At 44.7% G+C, this 14,753-nt stretch overlaps 1 protein-coding gene across 28 annotated transcripts in view; it reads right to left on the bottom strand.

Annotated features, from left to right (window-relative positions):
- The window catches only part of SLC9D1 (solute carrier family 9 member D1), a 59,209-nt gene that overhangs the window by 19,001 nt on the left and 25,455 nt on the right, over positions 1-14,753 (bottom strand). For 20 of the 28 annotated variants that reach the window (NR_146222.2, NR_146221.2, XR_007063685.1 and 17 more), the window contains one exon: positions 10,496-10,613. The exons of 6 other annotated variants lie outside the window; for them this stretch is intronic. Coding sequence is in view for 19 of the 22 variants with exons in the window: in NM_017905.6 (NP_060375.4) it covers positions 10,496-10,613 (118 nt within the window). In the remaining 3 variants the exon portion in view is untranslated. Of the gene's footprint in view, positions 1-605; positions 3,173-10,495; positions 10,614-11,441; positions 11,695-14,753 lie in introns of those variants that run through there. 2 more of the 28 variants (XM_047430411.1, XM_047430413.1) reach the window with 2 other exon arrangements.

Below are 14,753 nucleotides of genomic sequence, written 5' to 3'. Positions count from 1 at the left end.
CCTGGCGGGACGCACCATCATTTGCTCAGCCAGATGCAAGGGCTGTCCCGGTTCTCACACTGACTCCACGGCCATCCTGGTTCTTGGGCGCTGCGGTGACCAAGGAGCCTGTGGGTCCACTGATGGTGGCAGTGGGTGCTCACTAAGGGAGCCGGGTGCCTCCCACTATGACAGGTGCTGTCTGGTGGGCCGCCAGGAAGTTGCTCCAATTCCCATCCCAACAATGATGCCCAAGGTACCCCACTTCCCAACCTGGGCACCACCCAGCTTCTAATGGTGCCCAGTCTGATGGGCGGGTGGTGCCATCACCCTTCTTTGGTGTGAGGGTGGGTGTTTCCTACTTTACTCAAGTCTAATAGCTGCTTTGCTGCTGACCTGTTTTCAAACTCAGTTATTCATATTTTTCTTATTAAGGTATAGGAGACCTTTATAAAATAAGAAACATAAGCCTCTGTCTTTAATATGGGCATAAACATCTGTTTTGCTTTATTACAGCCTTCTGTGTTCTGTTCTTTACCTGTGAAATATTTTGAGGGAAAGAGTTCTTTCCTCTAGGAATGATCAAGGTTAATTCTGAATAAAGCTTAATAAGAAAGCAGAGTCTATTATGTTGCAACTAATTTTATTTCTTTGATATTTTAAATATAAATTTTCCCTCGTTATTAAAATTGAAAGGGAGGTTTTCCTAAATTACAGAAAAGTATATATAGTAGAAAAAACTTAGTACAAATCTACCAGTCTACTAGTAGAAAATCATTAACACCTTGTTATATATACATATATATATTTCTAGTCTCTATTCATGTTCTTCTATGTCTAATTAAAATATCGTATATATTTTTAACAGCTATGATATATAATTCACTTACCATACAACTTACCCATTTAAAGTATACAATTCAATGGTTTCCAGCATATTCACAAAATTACACAACTATTACCACAATCCATGTTAGAATACTTTCATCATCCCAAAAAGAAACCCTGTACCCATCAGCACTTCCTCCCCATCTCCCCCAACCTCCCCACCCTCCGGCAACCAGTAATTCATCCTGTCTGTACGGACTGGCCTAGTCTGGACGTTGGTATGAATGGAATCACACAGCGTGTGGACTTTTTGTCCGGTTCTTTCAGAAGCATCGTGCTTCATCTGTGCTATAGGATGAATCAATGTTCATTCTATATTATGGCTGAATAATATTCCTTTGCTGAATATAGTATGTTTTGTATATCTACCTGTTATCTAATTGACATTTGAGTTCTTAATACTTTTTAACTATACGAATAATGCTGCTTGAACATTCAGGTACAAGTTTTTCATTGTGGTGAAACTCTCATACAATAAAATGTACCATGTTAACCATTTCTGAGTGTGTAACTCTGTGGTATCAGGTGGATTCACACTGTTGTACCCCCATCACCACCGTGTATCAGTCTGAATGTGGATGTGTGTTTTTGTTTCTTGCGGGTAAATACCGAGGAGCGAACAGCTGGGTCAAATGGGAGCTCTGTGTTAGCGTCAGGAGGAACGTGGTCTACAATTCTGACTCTGTTTCTGTTTCTTTTGTTTTTTTTTTTTGAGATAGAGTCTTGCTCTGTCGCCCAAGCTGGAGTGCAGTGTCGTGATCTCAGCTCACTGCAACCTCTGCCTCCTGGGTTCAAGTGATTCTCCTGCCTCAGCCTCCCGAGTAGCTGGGAATACAGGCACGTGCCACCATGCCTGGCTAATTTTTTGTATTTTTAGTAGAGACGGGGTTTCACCGTGTTAGCCAGGATGGTCTCGATCTCCTGACCTCGTGATCCGCCCCCCTCAGCCTCCCAAAGCGCTAGGATGACAGGCGGAAGCCGCTGCGCCCGGCTCTCAAGCCATCTTCCTGCCTCAGCCTCCCAAAGCGCTGGGATGACAGCGTGAGCCGCTGCACCCGGCCCGATTCTGTTTCTTAAGTTTAACAGCATTACAGAGTATTTTTCCAAGTCATCAACTCTTTGTAAACATGAAGTGTCATGACTGAATTAGAACAATTTCGGTGGGATCAATACCTGTACTGCATTAATTTTTTGAATTGGAAAAAAGGGAAAAAAAAGCTTTAAAAGTGTTCTGATTAAGACAATGTCTTATGCCAGCATGTTAGACCTGCGTGTAACTGGAAAGAACGTGGCAGTGAGATCAACGTGGTGTTTGAGTTTTACAAATGCCCTGCAGTCTCTGCCAGGGCTCTGCTTGTTTCGTATGGAGAGTCCGCCCTCCGTTGAGAATAACTGGTTGTGCGTGGAAAATGCTCAGACCTCTTAACTAGAAGTCATCTCCGGCTAGCATGACAACCCTTCCTTCTGTTGTCCAAATTATGTTGTTCAACTTATGTTGGACATTGTAGCCAGAAGGAATAAGAACTGATTCCGATGTGGCGGTTGGGACTAAAAGCGTTATTTTTCTGATATTTAAAGACATCTGGATCAAAGGAAAATGGCCATGATAAGGACCCTCTTATCATAAGGACCCTCTTATCATAAGGACCCTCTTATCACAAGGACCCTCTAGCGAGTGAACTCTAACCACTGCCTCCACCAGCGGCTGCACTAAGTGCCCTGCCTGGTTTTCTCTTTCAGTCTTCCCACGGTCCACCAGGTAGGCACTGTTCCCACGTCCTCCCCAATTCACAGAAAGCTGCCAGGGCTTGCACGGCCAGAGCATGGCCAAGCTGGGGCTCTAGCCTGGGCTGAACCTCTGGAAAACCCAGGTAAACAGCCCTTCATTCCTTCTACTTTCCTGCCTGCCTGGCTGAGCTACCGACAGCAGGGAAGATGTAACAGAAGATCTGGCAAAAGGCAAATACTAAAAAATTCTTCCACCCCACCGCCTGCCATGAGGAAGCGCTTGCCAGCTGTTTGGGCCGGGGTGGGGCTGGAGGCCTGGCAGGAAGCAGAACCCCCTGGCCAGGCCTCACACCACCCTCCCCAGGGGAGTCACTGGTTTAAAGCCTCCTAATAAACACACGAACCACCCAGGATACAACGAAAAGTCGCTCATCATATTAAGAATCGGGAAAATCACAACTTGAAGGAGAAAAGACAAGCGCCAGACTTCACATCGAGACGAACGGATACTGGAGTTATCTGATGAGGGTGTTAAAGCAGCCATGACTAAAACGCTTCAAAAGGCCACAAACACTCTCTGTAAACAAATAAAAAATAGAAAATCTCAGCCAAGAAATAAAGGCTACATAAAAGAAGTAAGTGGAAATTATACAACTAAAAAAATACAGTCATAATAAAAATCTCTGGGGATGGGCTAAGTGGCAGAGTGGAGACGAGAGAGGGCAGAACCGGTGACCCCGAGGACAGACAGAATTCATCTGCCTGAACACACAGAAACGGACCGAGGACGGTCAAGGCCTCAGAGACCCGCAGGACCCTAACCAAAGAGCAGATTTCTAAGTTTCCGCAATCGCAGGAGAGAACAAGTGGACTGAAAAAGGATGTGAGGAAATGATGGCTGAAAACTTCCTGTTAGCCAAGAGACATAAACCCACAGATGCGAGAAGCCAACTGAATCCAAATAGAACAAACCCAGAGAAATCTGCTCCAGGATGTATGGTAATACAATTTCTGAAAACTAAAGACAGAGAAAAAAACCTTGAAAGCTGCCAGAGAGAAACCCCTCATTCCTTCGAGAGAAGCACAAGTCTAAACAGCAGCAGGTTTCATAGCTGGAACACAGAAGCCGGGGGCAGGGACACGCGCTTCCCAGGCACTGGATGAGGAGAGCCACCACCTGGAAATCCACATCCCGTGAGATGCCCTCGGAGTGACGCGGGGACAAAGGCCATTCCCAGACGAAGAAAAACTTAGAGAATTTGTGGCCAGCAGATTAACCATGAAAGAATGACCAAAGAAAGTTCTCTACACAGAGAGGAAATGATTACAGAAGATAGATGGGAACATCAGAAGGGAAAGAAGAACACCAGAATGGGTAAAAACAGGTATGAGAAGAAGAGATTATCCTTTTCCTCCTGAGTTTTCAAAATCGTATTTGATGTCTGCAGTAAACATTACAACACCATCTGCTGTGGTATTCAATAAAAGAAGAGAAAAGACAACAATTATACAGTCATGTGCCACTTCACAATGGGGACACATTCTGAGAAGCATCATAAGGCAATTTCATCATTGTGCAGACATTCCAGAGTGCATTTACACAAACCCAGACCCACCCAGGCCGCCTGGCACTGCCTCCTGCTCCTGGACCACACACCTGCACAGCACGTGACTGCACTTAATACTGCAGCCAACTGTAACACAATGATAAGTATTTGCATATCTAAACACAGAAAATACACACTGAAAGTATAGCATCAAAGGTAAAAATGGCACACCTGTACAGGGCGCTTGCAGGACTGGAGGTTGCTCTGAGTGAGTCAGGGAGTGAGGGTGAGTGAATGTGAGAGCCTTGGACACTACTGTAAACCACGGCAGACGCCACAGGCGCTGTACACTCAGGCTACACTAAACTGAGACAGTGTCTCACTGTGTTGTCCAGGCTGGAGAGCAGCGGTATGATCACAGCTCACTGCAGCCTTTATCTCCCAGGCTCAAGCAATCCTACAGCCTTCGCCTCCAGAGTAGCTGGGACTATGGGTGTGCGCCACCACGCCTGGCTAATTTTTTTTTTTTTGGTAGAGATGAGGTCTTGCTATGTTGCCCAGGCTGGTCTTGAACTCCTAAACTCAAGCAATCCTCCCGCCTTGGCCTCCCAAAGACTAGGATTACAGGTGTGAGCCACCACACCTGGCCAACTGTGCTGAGTTTATTAAAAATATTTTTCTTTCTTCAGTATTAACCTTAACTTACTGTAACTTTTTAACTTTATAAACTTTAAGGTTTTTAAAAACTTTTTGACTCTTTTGTAATGACACTTAAAACAGAAACTGTATGGCTGTACAAAAAATATTTTCTTTCTTCTTATTTATTCTATACGTTTTTTTCTATTTTAATTTTTTTTAACTTTTTAAACTTTTTGGTTAAAAACTAAGACACAAACACACATTAGCCTAAACCCGCACAGGGTCAGGACCATCAGTGTCGCTGTCTTCCACGTCCGCATCCTGTCCCACTGCAAGGTCTTCAGGTGGAATAACCGGCACAGAGCTGTCGTCTCCTACGACGACGACGGCTTGTTCTAGAATAACCGGCACATAGCTGTCGTCTCCTACGACGACGACGGCTTCTTCTAGAATAACCGGCACAGAGCTGTCGTCTCCTACGACGACGACGGCTTGTTCTAGAATAACCGGCACAGAGCTGTCGTCTCCTACGACGACGACGGCTTGTTCTAGAATAACCGGCACAGAGCTGTCGTCTCCTACGACGACGATGGCTTGTTCTAGAATAACAGGCACAGAGCTGTCGTCTCCTACGACGACGATGGCTTGTTCTAGAATAACCGGCACAGAGCTGTCCTCTCCTACGACGACGATGGCTTGTTCTAGAATAACCGGCACAGAGCTGTCGTCTCCTACGATGACGATGGCTTGTTCTAGAATAACAGGCACAGAGCTGTCGTCTCCTATGATGACGATGGCTTGTTCTAGAATAACAGGCACAGAGCTGTCGTCTGCTATGATGACGATGGCTTGTTCTAGAATAACCGGCACAGAGCTGTCGTCTCCTATGATGATGATGGCTTGTTCTAGAATAGCTCCTGAAGAACCTGCCTGAGGCTGTTTTGACAGTTCTACTTCTCTTTATAAGTAGAAGGAGTACACTCTAACGATAAAAAGTATAGTAAATACATAAACCAGTAACAGTGATTTATTGTCGTTATCAAGTATTCCGTACCATGCCTAATTGGGTGTGTGAGCCTTTTATATGATTGGCAGTGCAGCAGGTTTGTTCGTGCCAGCATCACCACAAGCATGGGGGCATTACACTGCCCTGTGACGTTACAAGGGCTGCAACCTCACTAGGCAACAGGAATTGTTCAGGTCCAGAGAATCCCACCCGACCACTGCTGTACAGGTGGCCCATCACTGACCAAAATGTCATTATGCAGCGCGTGACTATTTAACATGTGGGCAGGGGGAGGGAGCTAAGTGGAAATAAGGCTTCTACATTTCACATGAAGTGGTAAAACGTGGATTCCAGCAAACAGTGATAAGTTACATGTGTCCACTGTGATACCCAGAGCAACCAGGAAAACCACACAGAGCAATACACTCAAAACATTATAAATGAGCCTAAACAGAATCCCTGAAAACACGCAGTCAACCCACAGAGATGTAAAAGAAAAAGAGTAACGAGACAAAAAACAAATAAAATGCAGACTTAAGTTGCAACATATCAATATTTACCTGATATGTAAATGGTCTAAACATACCAATTAAAATACAGAGACTGGCTGAGTGGATTTAAAAAAATCATCCAACAATATGTTCTCCACAAGAAACTCACTTCAAATACAAGGGCATAAGTTGAAAGGAAAAGTATGAAAAGGATACACCATTGCAGACATTGACCAAAAAAAAAAATAATATTATTTTAATATCAGATAAAGTGAATTACACGGCAAGGAAAATTACTAGAAACAAAAGAAATATGGCCAGGCACAGTGGCTCACACCTGTAATCCCAGCACTTTGGGAGGCCGAGGCTGGAAGATCACTTGAGGCCAGGAGTTTGAGACTGGCCCGGCCAACATGGCGAAACCTTGTCTCTACTAAAAAATACAAAAATTAGCCAGGTGTGGTGGCACACGCCTGTAATCCCAGCTACTCAGGAGGCTGAGGCACGAGAATCACTAGAACCCAGGAGGCAGGAGCCGAGATCACGCCACTGCATTCCAGCCTGGGCAACAGAGCAAGACTATGTCTCGAAAAACAACAAAAAAAGAAATATTACATAATGATAACAAGATCAATTCACCAGGAAGACAAAATGATCCTAAATGTGTATGTACCAAACAAAAGAGCCCCAAAATACATAGAGCAAAAGCTGATTGAACTCAAAGGAGAAACAGACAAATATCCAATTCTAACGGGGGACTTCAATACCATCTCCCTCAACAACTGATACAACTACAGCAAGAACACGAAATAGCGCAGTTAACTGACTGACATATATTAAAAAAAACTCCACTCAACAATAACAGAATACACTTTTTTTTCCTCCCAAGTGACTTTGGAGCATTTACCACAGACAGTATCACTGGCCATAAAACAAACCTCAACAAATGTAGAAGAACTGAAATCATACAAAATGTTCTCGCGCCACAGTGGACTCAAACTACAAATCAGTAACAGAAAGACATCAGGAAAATCTCCAGATGTATGGAAATTAAGCAACACTTCTAAACAATCCATGAGTCAAAGAAGTATCAAAGTAAATTTTTAAAACTCATTGAACAAAATGAAAATAAAAATACAACATATCAAAATATGAGATGCGGCTAAAACAGTGCTGAGAGGGAAATTTACAGCAGTAAATGCTTACAGTAGAAAAGATGAGAAGTTTAAAATCAATAATCTAAGTTAAACCATAAGAACCTAGAAAAAGAAAAGTAAAATAAACCCAAAGCAAGAAGGAAGGTGAGGGTAGAAACTAATGAAATTGAAAACAACAACAAAATAAAGAAAATCAATAAAACAAGGAACGAATTCTTTGGAAAGATTAATACAATTGCCAAATCCCTAGACAAAGATGATGCAAGTTATCAACATAAGCAATGAAACAGAAGATATCACTACAGACCCTGTGGACATCAAAAGAATGATAAAGGAATACAACACAAAAACTCTGTATATATAAATCTGACAACTGAGACAGAGTGGAACAATTCCTCAAAAAGCTAAGCTACCACAACTCAACAATATGAAGTAGATATTCTGAATATCTACTGTGACTATTAAGCAAATTAAATTTGTAAGAAAACTCCCCAAAAGGAAATCTCATGACCCAGAGGGTTTTACTGCAGAATTCTACCAAATATTAAGGAAGAACTGACATCAATTTTATACAATGTTTTCCAGAAAATAAAAAGAAAGGAACACTTCCCAAAACATTTTGTGAACCTAGTATGACTTTTATTACCAAAACCCAAAGAGTATCAAAAAAAAAAAGAGAGAACTACACACCAATATCTCTCATGAAGTTAGACCCCAAAATCCTCAATAAATTAGCAAACTGAAGGCAGCAATGTATAAAAATAATTATATACCTAAACCAACGGGGAATTATCCCAGGTATGCAAGGCTGGTTCAACTTCCAAAAATCAATGTTATCCATCATGTCAACTAGCTAAAAAAGAAGGCCAGGCACGGTGGCTCATGCCTGTAATCCCAGCACTTTGGGAGGCTGAGGCGGGCAGATCACAATGTCGGGAGTTCAAGACCAGCCTGGCCAATAAGGTGAAACCCTGTCTCTACTAAAAATATGAAAATTAGCTGGGCGTGGTGGTGCATGCCTGTAGTCCCAGCTGCTCGGAAGGCTGGGCAGGAGAACTGCTTGAACCCAGGAGGTGGAGGTTTCAGTGAGCCGAGATCACGACACTGCATCCAGCCTGAGCAACAGAGTGAGACTCCATCTCAAAAACAACAACAGCCGGGCGCGGTTGCTCACGCCTATAATCCCAGCACTTTGGGAGGCCGAGGTGGGTAGATCACAAGGTCAGGAGATCGAGACCATCCTGGCTAACACAGTGGAACCCCGTCTCTACTAAAAATACAAAAAATTGGCCGGGCTTGGTGGCAGGTGCCTGTGGTCCCAGCTACTCCAGAGGCTGAGGCAGGAGAATGGCGTGAAGCTGGGAGGCGGAGCTTGCAGTGAGCCCAGATCGTGCCACTGCACTCCAGGCTGGGCGACAGAGCGAGACTCCGTCTCAAACAACAACAACAACAACAACAACAAAGAAAAATTACATAATCATATCAATTGGTTTAGAAAAAGCAATCGACAGAATCCACCACCCATTCATCATAAAAACTCTCAGCAAACTAGGAATAGATGGGAATTTCCTCAGCTTGACAAAGAGAGTCTACAATAAACCTACAGCTAACATCATACCTAGTGGTGAGAGACTGAATGCTTCCCAAGAGCAAGGCAAAGATGTCCTCTTACACAATCTTTTTCAACAAAGTACTGGACATTCCAGCCAGTGCAATAAGGCAAGAAGAAACCCAAAAGCATACGGGTTGGAAAGGAAGAAATAAAGCACACGAGACAGGTCCTAGAACCTCAATCTGGTTCCAAAAGAAGTTTCAAAAAGGTCTCCTAATTTTTGATCAGTTGTACTCATTGCTGTAAGAAATGCAATAAAGGTAGCCTCTGGAGATTAGATCTAAAGCACAATATTTACATACATAAAGTATAGTATATTGGCTTAAAACACACTCAAGCTTACAGTCCTATCCCACTTTAAGTTTCATAGGGCACCCTAGACTTTGCAACTGTCCTTATTTTCTGGCTGATATTCTTGGAATGTATTTGTATATGCGGCACAACCTACAACTTTCTGGATAAATTAATTCTTCCCATTTGGCTTCTCTCTCCATACGAACCCAAGCAGGTGCAGTTTACGTTTGGCAATACGATATTGGGAGAATGAAAAGAAGGATCGGGGAAGTGGTAATGATGATGACAGTGACAATGACAACCACACAATGATAGCTCTCCTACACGCATACACACCACACACGCATGCAGATGTACATGCAGACACACATGCACGCAGACACATGCAACACACAGATATACCCCACATATGCACACGTGGATACCCCCCTACAGACATACCACAGAACAAACACGCACACCACACATGCATGCAGATATACAACCATACAATGATAGCTCTCATACACACACACACACCACACATGCATGCAGATATACATGCAGACGCACATGCATGCAGACACATGCAAACACACAGATATACCCCACATACGCACACGTGGATACCCCCCCACAGACATACCACAGAACAAACACACACACCACACATGCAGACACATGCCCCCCCACCACAGGTGCGCCACACATACATGCAGATACACGTGAATACATACACACACATACCACGTAAGCACACAGATATACCCTACCTACACACACACACACAGATACTCCCTCCCCGTGCACACATACACATGCATACAGACACCCCCCTCCCTCCACATCACTTATTACGTTCTGGACATTGTTCTAAGCATGTTTCTATCGGAACTCATTCATTCCTCCTGACTACTCCATCAGTGGGTACTACTACCACCCCTACTTGATGGAAGACAGGACTGAGGAACTGTGAGGATAAGTCACCTGCCCGTGGTGAGGAGCTGCTAAGCACAGAGCCAGGGCGTGAGCAAGGCAGTGTTGCTCCAGGGACTGTGCACGGAATCCTGAGCCATCTGAGCTCAGAACATCTCTTTGGAAAAGGTATTAAGTAGTATTTTTATGCACAAGTGATTTTAAACTATAAAAACAAATTGCGTACACAAAGCGTTTACCTAGAAGATGCACTGGCGCCCGCCTGTATGAGAGTCGGCATGACGGCCATGAAGAGCCCGAGCTGCACGTCCTGCGTCACCAGCATGCCGAGGAGCACGGTGCTGTAGTCAATGTCGCCTGTGGGGGGAAAGGCATTGAAGACAGGTCTACGACAACTCAAAAGTATCCAAAGTCAAAATATTGCCATTGTACACACTTCCAAAATAACTCAAATTATTTTGGCACTTTACTTTTTTTTTTTTTTTTTTTGAGATGGAGTTTTGCTCTGTCGCCCAGGCTGGAGTGCAGTGGCTCGATCTCAGCTCACTGCAACCTCCACCTCCCGGGTTCAAGTGATTCTCCTGCCTTAGCCTCCTGAGTAGCTGGGATTATAGGCGCCTGCCATCACGCCTGGCTAATTTTTATATCTTTAGTAGAGACGGGGTTTCACCATGTTGGTCAGGCTGGTCTCAAACTCCTGACCTTGTGATCCACCTGCCCTGGCCTCCCAAAGTGCTGGGATTACAGGCATGGGCCACTACTCCCGGCCGGCACTTTACATTTTTAAGAATAGACTTTAAAATCTCTTTGAGAACACTGAAGCATTTTAAGATTAAAAATGTTGTAGAGCAAATCATCAGAACACCTTTTACTTCCACGACTTACTTGTTATTTATATAATTATTGAAAAATCTCATGACAAAAAGGTGACATGGCAAACAAGATGACAGGCTTGGATAATCACACCAATTTCACTGCGTCCCAGAAACACATGGAGAAGCCTTTGCTTCTCACCTTTACAGCTTCCCTGAGCTACTCCAGGTAGGCCTGACTCAGGCCCCTCTGGTCACGTGGTGTGTTCCACGTGTGCAGACCCACCCAAGCCACTGCACAGAACGAGCCTTCTCTGTGAGACCAACACAGACTTGATGTCCAAATGGTGCAGACGCACCCAAGCCACCACACGGAATGAGCCTTCGCTGTGAGACCAAGACAGACTTGGTGTCCAAATGGTGCAGACGCACCCAAGCCACCACACGGAATGAGCCTTCACTGTGTGACCAACACAGACTTGGTGTCCAAATGGTGCAGACGCACCCAAGCCACCACACGGAATGAGCCTTCACTGTGTGACCAAGGCGGGCCCGGCAGACAAACACCGGCTCACGAGGGCAGAACAGTAGTAGCCATGACTAGCTGAAGAGACTAAGGAACAACTCTGGAAAGAAGAAAGGAAAATGAGACCTTCTTCACAAATTCAGTAACTTGCACAAGCCTCCAAAGGTCTCAATTTTCAATGTACAGTTCCAGCTATGAACTCTGTAAATATGCTTCTAAAAATTAAATTGTCATTCCCCCAACCCCACCCCGAACAAGGTACTTTTTCTTACAAAAAAAAAAAAAAAGCGGCTGGGCGCGGTGGCTCACGCCTGTAATCCCAGCACTTTGGGAGGCTGAGGTGGGTAGATCACCTGAGGTCAGGAGTTCGAGACCAGCCTGACCAACATGGTGAAACCCCATCTGTTCTAAAAAATACAAAAAATTAGCTGGGCATGGTGGCGGGCACCTGCAGTCCCAGCTACTTGGGAGGCTGAGGCAGGAGAATCACTTGAACCCAGGAGGCGGAGGTTACAGTGAGCTGAGATCACGCCACTGCACTCCAGCCTGGGGGACAAGAGCGAGACTCCGTCTCAAAAAAAAAAAAAAAAGCTACTGTTATCAACAGATTTTAAAAGACCAATCTGATAGAAAAGGCTTATTTTAAAAAAACAGCAGAACCACACAAAACCCCTTGATGCCAGCAAAAATCTCTTTCTGGATAGAGATTCAGGTAATTGTTTTAGAAGGCTTGATTGACTTATTGTACAAAATTAAATTTTTGGTGAACAAAATATCTTGGCTTAGAATTTTAAAACAGTCTGAACAGACGATGACGTTAAGCTGTTGTGGCTACAGCTTTGTGCCTTTTAGGGTTACACGATTCAGGAGATGATAAAATTGCCTCCCAACTAATATTGTCCATGCGGAGGCTTCACAGATCAGCGATTTTCACCCTAAGGCTCGCATGGGCTTGTGGTCACCGCATCTCTCTTCATCTCGCAGCCTTCGCAAGACGGGAGGGAGGCTGCGAGATGAGTCTGTGGGATGCAAAGGAGCCACGGCCACCCCACATCTTCCGCAGATAACACGTTCACACCTGCGCCCCTTCTATTTAAAAGAAACAAAATCTCTCACTACATCTCACTTTTTAGAGATAGCCTTTGATGATATTACTGCCAGCATTTTGTAAATGTTTTAAATATTTTGTTCTCTTCCTTTGCACCGATCATAGTGAACTGGCTGAAATCAACAGACACTCAACTGTTGCCCGCTAGGCCATGGGCACCACAGAGCAGAGACCAGGTCTTCACCAAGGTCCCTGATGCAGGACCCCGAGTCCACACCCACAGGGCCTGCGCAGGAAACACTGCTCACGAGGGACTTCACGGGGCTGCAGGAGGAAGACAAGTGCTCGGAGTAGTGACGGGCACAAAACTTCAGCAGTGCAACCAGACAAGATGAAAATATTACCACACTGAAATATTACAATTTCTCTAATTTCTCAACACTTTCACTATTGTCATCTTTCTGAAATCTGCACTACCTTTTTGTGCTTATCACTACTATAAGCATTTTGATTTCTTCCTGTTTTCCATTCCTTTTATTAAACAGTTTAAATATACAGAGAACAAGGAGTATATCAAATGCTCACATACCCACTAAGGAATTTGCTAAATTTTAAACCTGTAACATATTTGCTTCAGATTTTTAAAGAAATAAAGTCCTAAGGGTGCCGCCAAGGAGCTCTGTAAACCCCTTGCTGTGGGGCCCCTCTTCCCTCCACCCACACTCCCCACAAGGAGGTCTGTAAACCCCGTGCTGTGGGGCCCCTCTTCCCTCCACCCACAGTCCCCACTTGACCTTATTCTGAAAGTTCATCATCCCCTTGAATGCATTTCTACTTAATGTTAACACCTATAGATCTGGAGGCAACACTGAGTTTATTATTTTGTAATATTAAACTTCACAGAATCAACATTTCTGCGACTTGCCGTTTTTGACCACCACTATATCTGCAAATTATCCATGTTGATGCACAAAGCTCTGATTCATTTTTAAAACTGTTGTAGAACAGACCACAGTTTATCCATTCATCTCTTGGTGGACGTTCAGGAATTCCATTTATTCACTAATACAAAAATGGCTGCATGTAATCCCAGCACTTTGGGAGGCCAAGGCGGGCGGATCACGAGGTCAGGAGATCGAGACCATCCTGGCTAACACGGTGAAACCCCGTCTCTACTAAAAATAGAATTAGCCGGGCGTGGTGGCGGGCGCCTGTAGTCCCAGCTACTCGGGAGGCTGAGGCAGGAGAATGGCGTGAACCCGGGAGGTGGAACTTGCAGTGAGCTGAAATTGTGCCGTTGCACTCCAGCCTGGGCGACAGAGCGAGACTCCTCCTCAACAACAACAACAAAGGCTGCATGAATATTCTAGCACATTGTGGGGGAAACCTCCTTTCCCCTCGCTTGCATTTTCACAAGAAGGGAATGTTTCCTCACCACTCCTGGCCTCTTGCCTGGTCCCACATACATTACTCCCAGGGAGACAAGGGCGCTCTTCCTGGAAATGGATAGAGCCCGTCTTCCTTTGTGAACCAGCCAGCCCACGGCACCTGGTCTCAAGGTTCTCTTGCAGACCTGAGTTTCACAGGGCAGGCCCTGCCCACGGAGGCCTCTGGAGGCCAACGCTGCTTGTGGCTGGACAATGAGTCTTGCTCCGAGGTTAAGAATGAAGCCTAAGAAGCTCATCACTGCCAGGCATGCAAACCACACCTTCTTCACAATCCAGCTGCCATTCTGACCTCCAGGTGCCTGCCTCCTCTGTTCCTCTTTCTATGTGTTTTCAGCACAGGCAAGGCAGAGTGGAGTTACACATTTACTGGACTCCTTCGAGGGTTGGGCCCCTCGAAGGGGCTAGAAATCTTGAGAAATAGAAAAGGAGCAGAATTTGCATCAAAATCCATGTAAGAAGAGTGACTGAGGCCGCTGCTGTGGCCAGAGCTAACACCTTTAAGCTCTGGTGAGACAGTCTTAAGTTTGGGCTATATACAAATTTCTTTTCTTTTCTTTTCTTTTTTTTTTTTTTGAGATGGAGTCTCACTCTGTGGCCCAGGCTGGAGTGCAGTGGTGTGAACTCAGCTCACTGGAAGCTCCGCCTCCAGGGTTCAAGCAATTC

Source organism: Homo sapiens, chromosome 13 (assembly GCF_000001405.40).
Source record: "Homo sapiens chromosome 13, GRCh38.p14 Primary Assembly".
NCBI classification, from domain to species: domain Eukaryota; kingdom Metazoa; phylum Chordata; class Mammalia; order Primates; family Hominidae; genus Homo; species Homo sapiens.
Note: the sequence above shows the minus strand (reverse complement) of the source record. Positions and strands in the feature narration are given on the sequence as shown.